The sequence below is a fragment of the Homo sapiens genome, chromosome 11, assembly GCF_000001405.40.
Source record: "Homo sapiens chromosome 11, GRCh38.p14 Primary Assembly".
Taxonomy (NCBI): Eukaryota; Metazoa; Chordata; class Mammalia; order Primates; family Hominidae; genus Homo; species Homo sapiens.
The window spans coordinates 105843808-105865202 of NC_000011.10; the positions used below are offsets into that span (position 1 = coordinate 105843808).

The 21395-nt window shown below is 36.5% G+C and overlaps 1 protein-coding gene across 28 annotated transcripts in view; it reads left to right on the forward strand.

Moving 5' to 3' along the window:
* The window catches only part of GRIA4 (glutamate ionotropic receptor AMPA type subunit 4), a 372097-nt gene that overhangs the window by 233814 nt on the left and 116888 nt on the right, over positions 1-21395 (forward strand). For 27 of the 28 annotated variants that reach the window (NR_046356.2, NM_001440383.1, NM_001440386.1 and 24 more), the window contains one exon: positions 18217-18401. Coding sequence is in view for 27 of the 28 variants with exons in the window: in NM_001440383.1 (NP_001427312.1) it covers positions 18217-18401 (185 nt within the window). In the remaining variant the exon portion in view is untranslated. Of the gene's footprint in view, positions 1-2860; positions 10357-18216; positions 18402-21395 lie in introns of those variants that run through there. The other variant, XM_017017611.3, reaches the window with a different exon arrangement.

Here is a 21395-nt window from a genome sequence, read left to right on the forward strand (position 1 = left end):
GAGATTCAAGAACTGCCTGGATACTTAAGACCTCTTGATGGATAACATCTCTGGACTTTATGTGACCTCCTCCATTGGTCGCTTTTTTTCTGTCAATGCTTTTCGCCAGCTCTCAGTTACAAAAAGAAGAGGAATTTGAAGATTATGAACTGCTTGATGGCAGTGTCTTATTTATCTCTGTTTTCTAAGACATAGCCTGGTAACTGGCTCCTGCATCTTGGGTTACCTACATAGTCCTGGTTTGTACCTGATATCCTAGTGTAATCTTAACAGTGCCCAATGCCCCCTTTCACTCTTGAAATTGTCTTGGTAGCTATGATAAATTGTACAGTCACCCTACTTATAATAAGCAATCAAAGTTAAACATTGTTGAGCTAAAAATTTAATGAAATGGATATAACCTCCCCTTCCAATTTCTATAAAGTGACCAACCCAATATGAGTGAGTTTGTGATACAAGTCACCTTCAGACATACTTGAAAAGATTTCAGATTATTCTGTGGACAAATAGTCCATTATTAAATATGCCAAATGGTTTTCTTTTCTACTCCACTCTGACCTCACCATGTTTCAAGGACCTCTTCAAATGCAATATTGAGACATAGTAAATTATGAATTCTAGTGAGAGCTATATTTTACAGCTGTATATTCCAGACCCTAAATGCCCTTGCAGGGAATAAAATGAAAATTAATGAACTGAAGAGCAATTGTAAAACAGGACCTTTGCATTAAGAACAAACTATTCAGTAACAGCTTTTAATAAGGTAAATATCCAACCACAGCATAATGTAGTCTTTGTACATTTTTAGGACTTATGTCACTGGGAAAATATGTTAAGAATTATTTCTCCAAAGATCCTAAAAGTTTCAGGTAATGGTTCCTTTATCTAGAATTTTTTATTACCATCATTAGTGCTATCCAGACTTTATTACTGCTGCTGCTGCTACCATTACTGCTACTATTACTATTAGTACTACTACCACTACTGCTACTACTATTGCACACACACAAACACACTTACTATTCTGTGCATCTATATATAGAAACCTGTGTTTCTCTATGCAGGCTTCTGCGGTTTATAGAAGACAGTAAACAGGAGCAGTATGGCACAGCGGGAATGTAGGTGATTAAGTAAGACTGCCTAGGCATGTGTTCAGGCTCTGCTTAGTAGTTGTGTGACCTTGGTCAATGTTCTGGTAATCTATTGCTGTATAACAATTTACTTCCACATTTAGTGACTTTAAACAACGACCATCATTTTATTATTACCTCACATGGTTTTGCAGGTGAGTGGGCTTAGCTACTTGATTCTCACTCAGGTGTGTCTCATGAAATTTCAGCCAGATGGTCACTGGGGTTGACTGATGTCAAAGACTCTCTCATTCATGTGTCTGGTGGTTGGTCATGGCTGTCAGCTGGAACTTCATCTGGGGTTATCAGTTGTTAACACTTACATGTATTCTTTGCTGTGGCTGCTTGGGCTTCCTTACATCATGGTATGTGGTTCCAAAAGCAACCACCCCTAGGGGACCAGGAAGAATCTATTGGCCGTTATGATCTAGCCTTGGAAGTCACATAGCATCACTTCCTCAGCAGTCACTAGCCTGCCTGGAGACAAGGAGAGGGAACCTTGACCCCTGCAGTTCAGTGGGAGGAGCATCAATGTTACATGGTAAGAAGAGCATGTAGGAAGATAGATTTTGTTGTAACCATCTTAAAAAACACAATCTGCCCCTAGATTTGCTAATCCTGTTTCTTCATCTGAAAAAAGTATGGATAAAAATACCTATCCCAGGCCGGGCACGGTGGCTCACGCCTGTAAGTCCCAGCACTTTGGGAGACCGAGGCGGGTAGATCGCGAGGTCAGGAGATAGAGACCATCCTGGCTAATACGGTGAAATGCTGTCTCTACTAAAAATACAAAAAAATTAGCCAGGTGTGGTGGTGGGTGCCTGTAGTCCCAGCTAGTTGGGAGGCTGAGGCAGGAGCCTCAGGAATGACGTGAACCCGGGAGTCGGAGCTTGCAGTGAGCCTAGATCACGCCACTGCACTCCAGCCTGGGCGACAGAGAGAGACTCCGTCTCAAAACAAACAAACAAACAAACAAACAAAAACTATCCCATAGAGTTGTTTTGAGGAAATAAGAAGTGTGAAGCCCTTAACAGAGTACAGAGTAAACACTCAGTAAATGTTTACTATGGTTCATGTAGTTCCTTCTTAGAGAAACAAAGTGTTTTTATTTGTCAAAGCAAAGAAGAAAAATAACTGATCAATAAATATTTATGGTGTGCTTATCTATACAATTAATAATAAGAAAAATTTCCTGACCTAACAATATTTAAGTATTTTGGAAATCTGCATATACCATTTCTTGTGGTATATATAGTATTTCTGTGTCAATAATTCTAAAAATTAGAAAACTAGTATTTGGAATTTGGAAAGCAAATTCATTTTCAAATTGCTGATTATTTAAAATTTTATTGCATATAAATTGTTTTGACAACACCTGTAGTTAATTTGGAAGAAGTGAGGAGGAAGAGGTATTGATTAAAATGACTTCAGAAAATATTTACATACATATTCATTTCTTAACTCCTTGCAAAATGGATCTGAGGTGGCTTAATATACAATGAATGCATGTATACATAATATATTTTGTAATGAACATATATGTAATTACATATATGTAATTCACACACATATGACTATTACACACATAAATATGTACAAATTATTTTAAAAGAAATAGAAGCCAAAGCCATGAAAAACAAGGAAAAAACAACTTGCAAAAACAAGGGCTGATACAACAATGATAACTGAATATAATATTTGCTCTGAACTTCTTGGTAATCAGTGAGGAAAACAAAATTATTGATGTGTAATTCCTATTACCACAAAAAATATTTAGTATACCAACTCTCCAAGAAGGATCATCCTAATGATGGAATCATAAAGAAAAGTTAAATGTGAGACCTTTTTTGGAGAACATTGGTAAAAAATATTTTCTTTAAAGAGCTTTACAACCAACACAGAGACTGTCTAAATACTGTATCTTATTGCAAAGAGTCTCAATAAAAGTTGAAAGAGTAACATTACTGTATACCTTGTAACCCAATTCTGCAGGTGAGGATGAGCTGGTGCCATCCAATAACCCATTAGGGCAACGGTCCCCAATCTTTTTGGCACCGGGGACCGGTTTCCTGGAAGACAATTTTTCCAGGAAAATTGGGGGGATGAAACTGTTCCACCTCAGATCATCAGGATCTTAGATTCTCATGACGAGCACACAATCTTTTTGGCACCGGGGACCGGTTTCCTGGAAGACAATTTTTCCAGGAAAATTGGGGGGATGAAACTGTTCCACCTCAGATCATCAGGATCTTAGATTCTCATGACGAGCACACAACCTAGATCCCTTGTATGTGCAGTTCACAATAGGGTTCATGCTCCTATGAGCATCTAATGCCACTGCTGTCCTGACAGGAGGTGGAGCTCAGGCAGTAATGCTCCCTTGCCCACTGCTCACATCTTGCTGTGTAGCCAAGTTGCTAACAGGCCAGGGACCGGTAGGGGTCTGCAGATCACGGGTTGGGGACCTCTGCATTAGAGCACAAGCTATAGTGTAAAATATATCAGCAACTTAAGGGGAAACATATTCCATAAAAAACCTCTTTATCTCTAGCATTTGATACAAAGATAGCAGGTAATTCAAGAATACATTTAATGAGAATCTAAAATACTGCATTTTTTTTGTTACTCACTGAATCAACATCCATATGTTTTAAGAGCCAGATGGTGAAGTGGCAGGATAAGACATTTTATTTTGAATGCTGAAAAATTTACAGAAAAGGTAATCCTACCTCCCTATGGAAAGTTATTTTTAGACAAAGCTAGAACTTCCCCAAAAAGCAACTTTGGATCTGTCAGGTAGAACATTTATATAATTGCTTGATTGTGACCTTAAAGTTCCAAACCATAATGGAGAAATATTAGATTTGGAAAACTTTAATTACTGGTGTTGAAATTGACCCATTCAAACCACCGAAAATCCCTGTAGATGGCCCTATAGAATATTTGGTTCTGGACTTTGTAACTATCTGGTGAGCCTGCCAGAATAGGTGGCTGGAAAATATACTCCATGAGATTTAATTAGTAGACTTGCTGAGCAGAATTTTGTGGAATTAACCAATTTAATTTTGGATAATGTCTTCCAAAAATGATAATTTTGACATCTTTCATGTCAAGTAAGCCATTATTTGTGGCAGCAATTGGATGGCAAAAGCCTTTGCTTTTCAGGCCACGTCTAGTTGATTAAAATGGTTTCATTAGCATAATGGAGAACATTTGCTTATTATTTGTTAAAAAAATAGCCTTTGTCTAAATGTAAAAGAAGTCAAGATCACTAGGGTACAACTAAAATATGAGAAGGGACAGCAGGCAGCACTTTTTTGTACTCTTTGAAATTGTAAACTCTTGTGTTAGAGCTTTCTTAATATTAAAAAAATTAATTGAAAAAGATTGTAAATATTCAACATGTACAACGTGATGATTTAGAATAAATGTACCTTCCTAATTTTTGGCACAACATTAAAATATAGTTTATTTTAAAGTGGTCATTTTAGAAGATGTAAGGTTAGAACATACACTTTTTCTGTCCCCAGAGTGTAATGAAAGCATAGTGAAAGTTACAAACTGTCTCATGCAATTACTGGAATTTACATTAAAGTGGGAAAATAACCGGATGGGTAGAAAATTAATACCTATGCATTTCTTCTACCAAACATATACTGCTTTGAGCTCAAAGCTACATCAGTTAGTTGCTATCCTGGTGGGAAACTAATGGTGCACTCTAACTGGGTCATCAAAAAAGTGCTTAATAATGCAACTGCTTTTAAAAGGTGTGGGCAAGCTTTAGGGACACCAACAAGAAAAAAGATGGTGCCCCATCTCAGAGGTAGCAAGAGCAGGGAGTCTTCACCACCATAAGTCGGAACAGGCAAGGAAGGTGAAGATGTGGTTGTGTGGAGAGTGCAGCTGTATGGAGAATGCTGAATGGCAGAGACTAGGGCCTTTATTTAGGGATTCAGTCACCCCCACGTCGACCTGGCAGGAAAGGAATCATGTAAAGAATACCTGACTTCCTTGGGAGGCCAAGGCAGGTGGATCACCTGAGGTCAGGAGTTCGAGACCACCCTCAACATGGCGACAACCCGTCTCTACTAAAAATCCAAAAATATTAGCTGGGCATTGTGGCAGGTGCCTGTAATCTCAGAAACTCAGAAGGCTGAGATAGGAAAATCACTTGAACCTGGGAGTCGGAGGTTGCAGTGAGCCCAGATTGCGCCACTGCATTCCAGCCTAGGAGACAGAGTGCTAGACTCCATCTCAAAAAAAAGAAAAAACAAAAGAATACCTGAATTCCCTCTTCTCCCTTTGATATGTTGCACATGATTCCTTTTAATCAACTCAACTGGAAGCCAAAGCACACAGCTGCAGACCATACTGGTCAGCCTCTTCTAATACCAATACAGAGCAAGGTCAGGCAAAATAAAAAGTGGATGTGGATCTGGATGGACAGTATCCAGCTCAGTTCTGAAGGAGACACCTAGTGTAACCTCTGAGTGGCAATGACCAGCATAATAATAAATCTACAGATCTGGAATATATACAAGTTTGCCTTTTGTAAAATGAATAGCTAATTGAGGCATCAATTGGAGTGGTCAATTTGGCAATGACGCTGAACTACCTATTTAAACAGATTAGCAGCAGCAGCACAGCCAAAGTAGTTTTCACTGTCAGGTGATGGATCAAATGAGGCAGGACCAGTGCAGAAGCCTCAGATAAGGAGAGTGCTAAGCTCTATAAGCTTGGAAGCAGCTCTCCCAGGACTATTAAGCCAGTATAAATAGAATTTCATACAACAGTGGTTATCCTTTTCTTTCTGCAAGCTTAACTACCAAACATATAACATAGGCATTAATATCTCAAACTTTACAGTCATAATTAGCTCTAAAAAACAACCCTAGGATTCTTTACTGGAATTTGTTGTTCTCGGGTTTTTTAAGCCAAATTTATTAAAAGGATTTGAACTAACAAATTACTTAATGTATTTTCTGTGTTCTGTCACACTGCAACTAAACTTGCCAGTTTTAGAGGTATGATACCAGTGTTTGCCCAAATATGTATAACAATTTAATTCACCAGCACAATTCATTTGATTGTGCCTATCAGTTTCATGAAAGTAAACTTCGAAAACCTTAATGAGTTTCTACCAAAATGTCGGTGGCACACGGTACCATTGTGAAAAAAAAGCAAAGCAAAACTGACTAATTGCCACATTGTAAATATTTGATGAAAAATAAATAACTTGATCTGACTTCTCCTCTTGATAATACAAACTTGGTTCCAATTTGTTACAGTTATATAAGTTATTGTAGACTTTTTTTGCATTCATTATAATTCTCAGGCAAATTTATTCTAATTAAAATATAAGTACTTTTTGGCTTTACCATCTTAATACCTATTCAGAAAACTTGCCTACATTTATCCCTGCATCAATAAAAGTTATTCTATACCATAATTCAAACTTAATTTGTGAAATAGTCCTATGGGGTTTTGTGACTGTTTCTAGAAGGGAAGAACTTGGGCAAGCATATAGATAGATCTAAGTAGTAACTCAAAAGCTTTTTGACTAAAGTCAACCTAATTCTACGGTTTAATGTTTGATGTCCTTACAGAGAGAAGGCAGTTGATAGTGTGTCCTGAGCAGTGCCGGGACAACATCATTAACCAAACTGGACCACAGGGCAGCACTCACAGGGTATTCTGAAGAAAGAAACTGTGTTCATTATTGTAATCTTTGCAATGGTTCTAATGTTTGGGCTAGAGCTACCAGAGACATTTGGGGAGGGGAGAATTGGGAGAAGGGGGCTTTACGTCCCTGTGAACTTAGAGTGAAAGCAGCAAGCATACGCTCAATGTAAAGAGCAGAAGCCACCACACTTCTTGGAAATATCATTGTATCCAGCAGTGCTTCGTGGTCAGGGATATGTCTAGGTCAAAAATGAATCCTTAATAGGGGAATAAAATTAACCCAAACTGAATGGAATTAAGTTTGCATTGTATTATAGACCATATCATGAGGAGAATAAAAAGCAGACTGTAATATCAGACAGAATGAGGCTTTACCAATTAATAGCTACATGCTCTTGGCCAAGAACTTAACTTCTGTATCATCAGTTTCCTTTATATAAAATGAAGATAATAAAACTAACACCATGCCAATAAAGCACTTAATACAATATTAAAGGTCATGGATTTGTCAGGCCTTCAATAATTGTTATTACTATTACCTTTATTATTATTAGGCTTGATCAAATGGGAAGGGATATAGAAAAAGGGCAGAATTTTTACCCTTGTCATTTAATTCAACCTAATTCCCTCTTGTTGAGCTTATTCTTTCCTTTGTGTGAAAAAAATAGGGAAATCAAAATGAATAAAAGCTAGTCTCATACTTAAAGGGAAGTAGACAGGTAAACTAGCAATTACAGTTATAATTTCACATCCCTGAGGTTAGTGACAGGCACGCTGTATACTTAATACTTTCCAAAGTAGCACATAGGACTTATTTAATAAATGATTTAATTAATTCAGAGTAGCATGAGCTGTAATTACTGTACAAACAGCTAGGGAAATGTAAAGAAAAAAGACAACAACCCCACATGGATGAGGCCAGAGAAGGCTTCTGAAATGGTCTGAAGCTGAAGCTGAGACTTAAAGAAAGATTAGAAGTTGCCAGTGAGTGTAGGGCATACAGACTCTCTTAGCGCAGGGAATAGCCATTGCATTCCGTTAAAGGCAAGAGAGAATCTGGTTTATTCAGAGAACCACCAATCTTCAGTATGAGTTGAGTGGCGCATACCTAAGAGACACAGTGAAAGATTGGTTTGGGAAGATAAACATCCATCCCTCCTGTCACCACTCCTGGTCATTTCTATTCCTCCTTTCCCTTATTTTCCTTCATAGTACTTACTACCTCTTGTCCTTCTATTATAAATGTATTTGTGTATTACTTCTTGTCTGCCTCAGCCACTGGAATGTAAGCTTCATGAAGAAAAGCACATCCTACTGTTCCATTTCTATATCGGCAGCCTCTGGATCAGTGGCCTGAAATGTAGGAAATGCTCAACAAATATTCATTGAGTGAAAAGTGAAAGAAGAAATAAATAGAGAACTGCTCATGAAATGTCTTAAATGTAATATTTAGGAAGAAATGTCAGGATTGGTGTGGGATGAGGGTGAAGCTGAGTAATGAGTCTGAGAGAATCTCTTAGGTTTCTGACTAAAGTGATAAGTAAATGACTAATGACCAAATACGGAATTTAAGAAAAAGAGCTAGGTTTTTGTTTTTCGTTTGGAGGGAGTGTGGGATGTTGAGTTATACATTATGACTTTCCCAGAGTTGTAGGGATGAATTTCTTTACCTATGAAGAATCCGCAATCTACTTCCCTCAAATGAACAGCAGCCTTATAAGTTACTCCACAGTGGAATGAAGCTGATTTTTATTTACAGCTATAGAAAAGATTATCATGACTAATAAAATCCTACATTAATCTTCTTCATTACATAGAAAGTCAAAGGTGGAAGATTAAGAAATTTAAATAACCTGCCTCAGAACCACAGAGTTGAAATGAGAAACAGAACGTTTGCCGTTAAAAGTAACAGAGGCTACCACTGATCCCATCATTTGTCACCTAGCATGCTGTTCAATAAATCACTCTGTATTTAGATAATCACCTCAGTGTCATTTCTCCACTAAAGAAATTTAATAGTGAGCAATCAAATGTATTCACTCTCAGTCCCTGACATGAGTTTACAATTACTTCCTAGAACTGAGCTAGTCTCAGTAGGATATAAAAATTAGGCGAATCATATGGTGAATACTTACTTCATCCTGTGTTTTTTCCTGCTAGGAACAGAAATTGTCTCCATAATTGTATGCAAATCCTTTCACCAGAATCATCACAAGAAAATTATGTACTGCTACTCCTGCTCTAAAGAAAAGACGAAAGTAACAGTTTAAAATATCACTTTCAAATCAACCAAAATGAATGGTTTTGGCTTTGTGTATAAAAGCCAGATCCAAATTAATATTATTTACAGTACACAGCTTGGCATGTGAATATAACAAGCTGATACTTAATATGTTGTGTAACACTTCTTTGAGTTTCGTTGCTAGTGATTGCTTTTATGATTAATTAATGAGATCTGTTGGACTCAAACTTCAACATACGGTAGAATAAATTAATTGCTCTTTTAAGAACCAGAATTCTTTGGACAGCACTGGCTATCTTGCACCCTCAATTAATGAGTCAGTTTTGCAGGTTAGCTCAGGATTTGTTTTTATGAACCAAAAATATTTCTGTTTTTATCATTTAGAATGGAGTCCTTTCTGAAATGAATTTCACACTTACTTCAATCCTAAGTTTCTGAAGCTTATTTTAGCTCTTATTAATGACTCAGGATGGTTGCTATAAATAAAGATTATGAAAATTGGAGATTACTATTAAAGGCTACCTTAGGATATCTCTAAAGGTATTCCTGCTGAGATATGTGGGACTCTGGGCTTCTACAACTCATGACCTCTCTCTGCCATTTGTAGAGTTGTAGAGTTTTTGCATTTACTTGCCACATTCTTTCAGGACCAAAATGTACAAAGTATAAATTAAGTAGTTTTCAGCTCATTCCGATGTCAGTAATATTACTTATTATTCATTCAGAAGCTATCTCTGGGATGAACAATAAGACATTGCTGATATTTGACTATTTTTGATCAGCAGAAATGAAAATGTCATATGGCTCCACCTGATACAATGAAATATCTCCTGGCTCTTATACAGATAAGTACAGGATTGGTGGGGTGGGGGGAGTGTAGAATTTAGAGAAAAGCAAACAATCAACACTCTCCTTTCTTTCCACTTTTTCTGGAGTTGGTCTAAGTGACAGGAGATTTGGCATTATGCCTGTATTAATTTCAGTAGTCTCCTATTTGGATTCCCTGTCCTCCTTCTCTTTCCACTCTTCGGATGCATCATTTCCACTATATCAAACTAGCATTATAAAAGCAGTTTTATAAATCTGTCTCTTCTCTGCTCCAAAGCTTCGAAGGTTTCTACTGTTTCAGTATTGTTTCACAATGATCAGTGGAGTAATTTCTAAACTTTCAGTATTTAATTATCCAAAACTATTTATCGAGTCCCTTTTAGATGCCAAGTCTTCTTCTAGGCACAGTGAACAAAACAAGCCTCCTGACTTCATGAGCTTACCTTTTAGTATGGGAAAGAGACAATAAACAAGGTGAGTGAGTAAAATCTAGAGTATATTAGGTGGTGGTGAAGTGTTGGGGAGAAAGTAAAGCAGAGAAGAGGAATAGAAAAGCACAGGATGAAGGAGCTGAAATTTTAGATAAAGTAACCCAGAACGGCCTCACTGAAGAGAGGGCATTTGGGTAGAAACCTAAGAACATAAAGGCAAAACCCTGAAGACCCATCTTGGGGAAAGCACAGCAGGGTGAAGCCTGAGCCAGAGCACCCCTGGCAAAGCAGCCAGATGTCTGGTGATGTTTGAGAGCAAGAGAGCAGTGGATGACGTCAGTATAAAGGAGCAATTGGAGAGTTTGGACCTGTAAGTGGTATGATCTGGCTTGCCTGAAAAGTTCCATTCCTGAAGCTATGCTATGAGTAGTGCAAAGCGGGCAAAGGTGGAGGAAATAAAAGACATGTAAAGAGGCATTTGCAAACAAGAGGCTTGGGCCTGGGTGGAGGCAGTGTCGGTAGGAAGAAATGGCCAGGTTTTTGATATATTTTGAAGGTAGCCTTGACAGAATATGCTAAAATACGAGATGTGATTGTGAGAGAAAGAATGGAATTAATGGTGACTGTGATTGAAAGGCCTTCACATCACAGCCTCATCCTTCCTTGCTAATTTCATCGCTCTCTCTGCATGCTGAAGTGTGGTGAAAAGTCCCTAAGCTGGAGAATGGAAGACTTGAGTTCATTCACATTTCTGCCACTTAGTGGGGTTATGCTTTGATGTAAGTCACATAAATTGTTTTTATTTCTTCACCTTTATGGTGGGGATAATATCTACTTCACAGGGCTGTTATGAGGTTCAACTGTATTGTGAAATACTAATAAAGCATAATGTAGTTTATGAATACATTACTCCAGCAGCCTGCTCTATTAACTATCAATGATTAATAATTTATTAAGCATTCTCCAAGCTCCTGCCTCTGTGCCTTTGCTTTATGATGCAGCAGCTCCTTCCTCCTCACCATCTTTATTCATCAACCCTTTCCATCCTTTAGGGACCATACTACAGTCCAAGTCATTCTCTCCATGGTGAAACCCCCTTTGAAAGGGTCTAATCTTTTGCTTAACACTGCTTTCCCAAGGTATCGCAATATTGAATAGGTTTGACACTCAAAATTATGTCTTACATACCTTACATGCTTAATATTAGACAAAGACCTTGTTTGAGTGCCTGTTAACTCACAAACATATATTTTAATTCCCTTATAAAAATACAATGGTTGTTTTTACACACATTGGAACTGTGAGCTTTATATAATGTGATATAAAAAAGTATCAAATCAGAATTATAAATTTTATATAGTGTGATATATAAAATATATAGTAAAACAGATAAAAGAAAAAGTTGTACTTTATGAGCAAAATAATAGCTATATAGTAATTATGCTAGATATTTATTCTGATTGGAAATTAGTCTTTTGCTATTTGAGTTTAAAATTATTCAAATTTTTCAAAAATGCTTTACTTAAAATAGAAACACATTGCCTTTATTGTAAAAAGATGTTTGTGGAGGCCCACAGTGCTAAGAAGATAAATAATGATGGAGGCAAACTTGAAAAGAGATCAGTGTATTCATAGGGAATATTCAAAATCTACAGATTGTTTCTAGAATCATTGATGTCTATAACCAGAGAGAAAAATGGGTTTCTCAGACCTCTGTCATAATTTATTATACTACTTTGGGTGATGAAGGAGGTGGCTGCAAGGATAGTTTTCATCAGAAGTCAACTGACACCTGAAATCCAAATGGAAAAATATGTGCTTCTGAAGGTCAAAAAAACCCTAAGAGTTCAATCTGAAAATAGAAGTAGAATGACCACCAGTAGAATAGATAGTAGTCTGACTCAAATCATCTCTCTATGATTTATGTGTCATTAATCACTAAGCTGATTTATTCTGTATCCTTAATCTAGAAACTATTCTCCTTCCTCTGCATGGTCCTAAATCTGGCCCCCATTACTTCTCACCTGGATTACTACCATGTGGGTTCCTAAGTGATTTTCCCATTTCTGTGTTTCCCACATCCATTGTATTTTCCACACTTCAGCTGTAATCATCCCTCTAAGACACATTGTTTTGTCACTCTTTTCTGAGAGTCTATGAAGTAAAACCTAAATTTCTTTAAATGATAGAGAAAGCTCTTGTAATATATCCCTTGCCTGTTCACCTCTCCAGTCTTAGAAGCTCTTTCCACAGCCCATGCCAATTCTCCACATATCCCTTCTTGTCCTTCCAAACATACAAAATAAACTGAAGTTTTTGAAGCTTCTGAATGTGACCTGCTATGCAAGATAAAAAGTATATTCATACAGTCTTTTAAGGAGAGTTTCCTGAAGCCTCCACACAACCGTTCCACTTATAACCCATTGCCCACAACTTAGTCACAGAGCCATATATCTAGCTGAAAGAGAAGCAAGGAAATATATTTATTCTGACTGTCCATAGGTCCAAGTTAAAATCCCACTGCTTTGGATGAAGGGGTGAAGTAGTAGTAGAGAACCACCAACTTACAGACTCTACGACAGTGCTTTAACTTTAAAGATTTAAAGTATCAAATTTTCTTATAAGATGTCATCTGAACTAAATATGAATACTAGGGAATCAGAAGACAGTAAATGTTAGTGTCAGAAAATGCCTTAGGAAAAATCTAGGACCCAGAATAACCACCTTTAACAATGATTATTATCAATCCATCTTTGAAGATGAATTCTCTACTTTTACTCTTGAGTGTTTGTAGAAAAGGGAAAACTCAAGACATTCCATCTTATCTTGGGTTTACGTGAATAGCTTCAGGCTGTAAAAGTAGGAAAATCTTTGCTTATTTTTAGTATGCCCTTTTTGAACTACGGCATAAATAAATACTATAGTTACAGCTGCAGGTAATTTTACCCAAGCTACAATGTTGGTTATTCCTCCATGTACTGAAACCTGGGAGTCCAGACTGTGGCCTTTGAACATGTTATTTCAGTACTAAGCTGCTTTGGAAAGAGTCCAACCTAAATGGTTATTAAATCTACTCTACAGTTCCAGCATGGTGGCATTAAATGCAGTGAGGATTACAGAATCTTATTCCTTTCTTGACTCAAATCAATAAGTGGCGTTAGACACACACAGACACACACACCTTTCTCCTTGAATCCACCAGTTTTGGATACTGACAAATTGTGCCAGACCAGAGATATTGATGATGTAGCAGCAAGAACCTCCATAGCAATTTACAAGATTTATGAGGGAGGCTTTAATTTAACTAACTACAAGCTGCTGCTATGCCCCTTGCCATGTTCCCTTTTCAGGCTCAGCAACCCCCCATGGGACAGACCTAGTCTTCTCCTTCCCAAACCAGTTCCCATAATCTAGATGTTTCTCTATCCCATATTCATCAAACTGGCATACCCTTCATCTTATTACTTCATTATTCTGATGATATTCCCTGATTATTTCCACATTCTCACCTCTTCCCATTTTCTCCTCAATTTCTCAATCTGAAAAATGTCTTCTATATCCAGCATTCCATTAACCCTGCTCATGCTAAGTGCACCAATGACCTTCTCATTGAAAAGCAGAATGGACACTTTCTAGTTCTCATCCAAGTAAAGCTTTTTCAGGGCATATGGATAACTCTTTCTTTTCTAAATACTTTCTTCCCTGGCACAAATGTATTCTGCTTCTCTTTCTGCTGCTCTGTGTGCTGACAGTTAAATAACTCTTGCAAACAAAAACATCAAATAAATAAGCCCAGCTATTGTTGTGAGTAGCAACATCTCTGAATTGGTACTCATGCAAAATAGGTCATTATCCATGGATGATGTAATAAGTGTTGACATGTAAGGGTGCAGTAGCTCAGGACTGCTTACCTCATTTTGATTCTATTTAACATAATTGATAAAATCTTTATGTGATATCATAACACTTAAAAATATTTTATATGTAATTGACAGTGTTCTTTAGTAACTATGAAAAAGCCCTTAATTACTATTATAATCTAATAAAGTGATTATGTCGATGATATGCTCTGCTATTCTAAAAAATTATTTTCATTACTTTGAATTTATTTATATAATGCTGTGTATTTTGCATAATGGATAGTTTACCTATCGGTTTTCCTAGATAGTAAATTCTTTGTAAAGACAAGAATCACATCTTTATCTTTTGTTTCACCTTTGTATTTCACATTACCTATCTTTTTAAAAATGTTCTTATAGGTACATAGTAGCTGTGTATATTTATGGGGTGCATGAAATATTTTGATACAGGCATACAGTGCATAATGATCACATCAGAGTAACTTAGTATCCATCTCCTCAAGCATTTATTCTTTCTTTATGTTATAAACATTCTAGTTATACTCTTACAGTTATTTTAAAATGTACAATAAATTATTGTTGACTTTAGTCACCCTGTTGTGCTATCAAAGACTATATCTTATTTATCTTATCTAACTATATTTTTGTACCTATTAACCATCCCCATTTCCCTCCTCCCTCACTATCCTTCCCAGCCTCTGGTAACCATCATTCTACTATCTCCAATAAGTTCAGTTGTTTTAACTTTTAGCTCCTATAAATGAGTGAGAACATGGGAAACTTGTCTTTCTGTGCCTGGCTTATTTCAGTTAACAAAATGTCATCCAGTTCCCACATCTTTATCTTGATATAATTTATAGAATTCTGTATGTAGTAGGTTTTCAGTAAATTATATAGAATTAAAATGTTAGACAGCTTTTTAGAGTAGAAGCAAGATTTAAAATATCCTTTACAGTAGTGAATTTCCTGTTAACTACATGATATTCATCTAAAACTGCAGTATTCATTCTTTGGCCAACAATATTATACTACAAATTTTCTAATACCTAGGAGATGCAAATCATAGCCAGATGTGGAAATAGTATGACTTGACTTATGATTATCTAGTTTATATAACAACTAAGTTACATAATCATAGATTCAACAGCAGTATTTTATCCTAGTTACAATATATTTCCAGCTATGTTAGCAAATAAATAAGACACTCACATCTGAATATCAATGAATAATAAGAGAGCATATTAGAATCAAACATAGCTTATAAAAGAGTATGATTTTAGCCAAGCTCTGAAACTATTACTGCATGTCCTTTGCACTGCAATGAAAGGATGCCATTTATTTCTGACTATGATTAATGGGGCTTTTTAAGTAACCAACTTTCTTTGCCATTCAACAAAGATTGTGTCCTAGGGTTCTGTCTGATTCCAATTCTAGTGTCATTTGTAAATCTAAAAAATCAGATAATGGAAGGCTGGATTTGAATTATAATTTTGTTTTTAGAGTTAGTCCTTCAATTTGTAAGGTAAGTGGGCATATCTATAAATTTCATCAGAAGGTGTGTGGCTCCACATTCTGTAAAAGTCATGTCAGCAGGAGAATAACAACATGGATGCCTAGTCCTGACATGAAGCCTGACAGCCAGAAATGCAGCAATATTTAGAGTATCGTGCCAAGCTGTGAATTAAGCCCAGGGAGAAGACTATTTCTATGTGTGGGGGCCGTTTTTATTATTTTTGCAACACTCAAGCAAACAAAAAAAATCTTAGCATTATTCTGGTATGATGATAAATAAAAGGAGAAAAAAGAAAAGTAATACGTCAATTGGTATTTTTAAAAGCATTCATTTTAAGTCGAAGAACATGTTCATAGGTGTCAAAAAAAGATTTAAAAGAACATTGCCTCAGTTACCATCAGAGCATAAGCCCCTGCAACAGAATAAATGAGGCATGAACATATATATTAAGGAAGGTTTCATGTCATCACGTTACATATGTGTCGAATGGGAAACAAGAGAAAGAATGCTGGGGTTTTGGGGCGGAGGATCTAGGTAAGATTTGAAAAGATAATTACTGGCACGCATTACAAAAGGAAAGACTAAATGGAGCAATAGATATACCAGAATAATTATATAGTAATTAACATGCCCTCTTTCTTCCTCTTCGGGGAATTTTTTTTCATTTAGATAAAAATGAATCCTGACTGCCACAGTATTTCATTTGGCAGGATATCAGATAATTTATATTTCAAATATGATCTCATCATCAGTTCCATCTGTTGATCTTAACTGAGCATCAGTAATGTTTGGAACTCTGACATGTAGAAAACATACCTGAAAAAATTCAAAATCTCTGAATCTATGAGACTCACATACCAATTAGAAAACTCAACAAATATGCCCTAATCTTCCAAGTGCGGTATACTCGTTTTAAATCTTCACTTTTAATCCACCCAGCTCTCTACCCAATTCCAGTATCACAGGAAGAAGAAACTACAGACAGTTGCTATAGAATGAGCTCAAATAAGTGTTAGACTTTGTTAAAGAGGACTAGAATATTCTGTTTATGCTAAACCATAAAGTGAAAATATAACTGACTAACAGGCTCTGATCCTAACCAATCTTAGTGTATGGGATATTTATAAATTCAAAGAATCTTTTTTTTATTCTTCTCTCACATTACAATTCAAAAATGAGAGATGGGGCTGGGTGCTGTGACTCACGCCTATAATCCCAGCACTTTGGGAGGCTGAGGCAGGTGGATCACAAGGTCAGGAGTTCAAGACCAGCCTGGCCAATATGGTAAAACCCTGGCTCTACTAAAAATACAAAAATCAGCCAGGTATGGTGGCACGCACCTGTAGTCCCAGCTACTTGGGAGGCTGAGGCAGAAGAATTGCTTGAACCCAGGAGGTGGAGGTTACAGTGAGCCAAGATTGTGCCACTGCACTCCAGCCTGGGCAACAGAGCAAGACTGTCTGAAAAAAAAAAAAAAAAAAAAAGAGAGATGGAAAAAAGGCAGGACAATCAAGACAATATTGGCCTGAAGATATATTGCATTTCCTGAAGAAATGCAGGAATTATGAGTTTACAGCTTCTGCCTTAACCCAGGTGCTTGGACCAGGTGCCTTCCCTTCCACATGCAGAGAGAACTAGATCAAGAACAGGGTGAAGACCATTCATTTTATTCTCTCATGGCAGGCTGTCTTCACGTAATAAACACCCCCACCTGCATCAGTCTTGCACGCTCCTTCTCAACCTTCAAGACCCAATTCAAGTTGTTTCTCCTCTGTGGTATTTTTCCTTGTTCCATCCAGACAGCTCTAACCAAGCTTTCCCTTGGGCCAAGCCTTTACCTTGAGTCCGGCTACACACTTTTTAAAACTAAGTTTCTGTTGTTTATTTGGTCATCAGTCTCTTACTGATTAGGAGTACCAGTGCCTCACCTAGTGGTTATTCAACTGATCCCCAGTCTATATCATTCACCTGCTGAGAGAGGAAGAGTTAAATAATGCCTCTCTAATATGCACCTGTCCTCATCAACAAATAAAGCACCGAGAATAATGAGTCCTCAATAAATACTGTTGTACTGTTTCTTTTACATCTTCTCTTCCATAGTTGAACCAAAAATGTTGTACTACCTTGTTCAAGGGGAAAGTCAAACAGTTGTTCAAAATGAGTTCCATCTAGTGAGTAAAATAACAAAAAGGGTTTATGAAATTGCTATTGACTACAGATGGTGGTGGATTTGGTTTGGGGTTTGTCTCATCAAAAAAATGTCTACAGCAATGCAATGTTCTCCAGTAAAGAGATTTTGAGAGCACAAGGTATGGTGTTGCTACTTCATTCAATCAACATTTTAAGAGATTTTGTTGCCATGACTAAAGAAAGTAAGAATAAATTATTCAGAAATAACCACACAGACTTTAAGTTTCTAAGCATTCAGTATATTTTGGAACATAACAGTGTTGATATAGGCTCAGTACCTGCATACATCATTAAAGGGGAGTAAAAGCATGTTTTTAGTAACTTTTTTTTTCCCCAATAGGATACTCGATACTCCAAGCTATTATGGAAAAAGCAGGACAAAATGGTTGGCATGTCAGCGCTATATGTGTGGAAAATTTTAATGATGTCAGCTATAGGCAACTTCTAGAAGAACTTGACAGAAGACAAGAGAAGAAGTTTGTAATAGACTGTGAGATAGAGAGACTTCAAAACATATTAGAACAGGTAAGTCCTAGATTTTATATTTTTAACCTAGACCCTATACAGAAAAATTTAACCTTTGATTGACTTGTCCCCATCAACATCTTCTCCCAGCTTTTAATTTGGAGTGTGAGGTTTGAGAGTTTTCATTCCATGACTATCTTCAGGACCAAATCACAATCTTTTATCACCAAGGACCTTTTTGGTTCTTAAGTCTCAATGTATTTAGAAAGCTATTTCTCACATATTCTTAAGACTTGAATGAGTGAAAGACTCTGTGTGAATCTTGAAGAGCTCTTGGCCTCCAGTTTTCGAAAATATTAATGTTGAAGATTAATCCCATCTAAAAATAGTACAAAAATTCTAAATTTGTGGGTGCACCATTTTTAGAGGCACACTTACTTTAGAGAAGTGCTACATGAGAAACAGCAACATAAATTACTAAAGCAATAAAATAAAAGAAAAGTCAGTGGAATACTGTATATAATTTAGTGGAATACTGTATATAGCATGTTTTCTGCTAGGTATTATAAGTCAATACATTACTACCCCAGTGGAGATGGTTTTCAACTCTCCTCAAAATGGAAAAGTCCTTGAATAAATGTTTCAATAAATATTTGTTGATTTGATTTGAAGCAGCCAGGAAAAGATTAAACTGAGCTTTGCCGTTGTATTAAATGATAGGAAAATATCATCAAATAATGGATAACATCTGCCTTTCCCTACCCCTGCAGATCATGATAAAGCTTTAAAGGCTCTTTGGCCAAAATTGCAGTGAGTGAATGCCATCTAGTGGTTTTAGAAATGCTTGCTCATATTATCTACAATACGTTAGTTCAGCCAGACATGGGTAATATAATTTTTTGTTGGTTAGTTTTTTACATATAGCTTAACTGCATAATTATATGACTTGATTTCCATTAGTAAACTTGCCAATTTGGAGGTTTATTTATAGGAATAACTTTAGTATTCAATTGTAAGAATGAAAACCAAAATATATTTCAGAGATTCAGCTTTACTATTTGCAGGCAAGGGACTAGATGTCTTCAGTTTCCTTCCTCAACTATATTAGCATTTGTAAAAGTGAAAAGTAAAAGAAAACAAACAAACAAAAATGTTGTATTGCTAAAGTCTAAAGAAGCCAGACCATAAGAGGAAATAACAGAGTATTTACTTCCTGTCGTCCCTTTGTAGAAGAAAAAGCTAAATATATATATATATATACTGAAGAAATATATATGTTATTTTGGGAAATATTAATTAAAAGCCTATACATTACTCGGGCTTATTCCTAAGAGAGTCCAAAAAATTTTTGAAGTTGTAGCTATTCAATGTATATGAAATTTTTAAATGGTTAGTTACAGAATCCAAGAAAAATCTTTCTTCTTTCTTAAGCAATACAGCCACTTTACCTCCGACTCCCATTTCCCTCCCTCCCACTCCTGCCCCTGTATTGAGAGTTTGAGTTGTTTGACCTGAACAACTGAAGCTTTGTAAATAACTCACGATGAATCCCACAGAGCAGCCAATTCTAAGAACTGCCTGGATTGCCAAGTTCCTGTCAGAGGGTGAGTAAGGCTCAGAAAGACCCTCCACTTAGCACCTGTGCTTAAAAGACCAAGTCTGGAGGAGGCAATTGAGTGCCTAAAGCACACTGACCCATTTCAGAGGCTTAGCTGGTTTCTAAGAAGAAAATTGGCACACCTGGGTGCTTTGGATAAACTCTGAATAAGCCGTAAATGAGCTCCTGCTAAAGAAACTGGACATCTTATATATTTTTTGTCATATTAAAGAAATTAGAAAACTTGAGTGTCTACCTTTTCTATTCTTCTTGCCAAATTCTAAAAGGTTTCTTTTCTATCATGGTTGCATGGTAATAATAATAATAATAGTAAGAGAACTTTGTCCATTTAAAATGCCTCTCAGGTATAAATCTCATAAATTGCAATAAAGTCTACTGCATTGTGAGAAAATAATGTACTCTTAATTGTCCTATAAAATTTTCCTCCAAGAAAAGCTGTGTTTTTATTCTGAACATGCTGTTGTTGTTGTTTACTATCTGTATTTTAATTCCTTGTAGCTCTAAATGAAACAACTTTCAATGTTTTCTTGGTTTTACTCTTGGCTCTTCCACAAGAGCTAATCCATACTTTGTCAGGGGTTTGTACGTGTATCTTAAGACCCCTGTGTTTCAACATCCTTTTTCATAAATTAAGATAGCAAAAGAAAACAATTTCAAAAAACCAACCAAAGCATTTTTAAAAGGTAAAAAGTTAAATGCTAAATAATCTTGATTAGAAAAATGCCTTTGAAAAGGTGGACTTTTCTCAGAAGATGGTGAAATTAATACAATGATGATAAAGTTCTAGAAGGATGGACACACTTCATATTAGTAAATTTCTATGGCCGGGCATGGTGGCTCACGCCTGTAATCCCAGCACTTTGGGAGGCCGAGGCAGGTGGATCACCTGAGGTCGGGAGTTCGAGACCAGCCTGACAAACATGGAGAATCCCTGTCTCTACTAAAAATAAAAAATTAGCCGGGTGTGGTGGCACATGCCTGTAATCCCAGCTACTCGGGAGGCTGAGGCAGGAGAATCACTTAAACCCAGGAGGTGGAGGTTGTGGTGAGCCGAGATCGTGCCATTACACTCCAGCCTGGGCAACAACAGTGAAACTCCATCTCAAAAAAAAAAATTTCTAGAAGGATGGGCACATTTCATATTATGGTAGCATGCCATCAATAATTACTTCATTGACATCTTAATTTGTATCAATTTGCAAAAACATAATAGAAATAGTTCAGACAATATTCTCTCAAAATATGTTAATGGAAAACTGTGGTTATAGAAGCATTTCATCTTCTATACATGTTTTCCAAATTATTTTATGACATGAACTAATTCGTTCTTATAAATGTATTGCTATTTAATATAGTAGCTAGACATATACTCATTCAAGCATTTCAAAATATGAGTTTAAGATCAAGTATTTGAAAATATGGTTTAATGTACACCA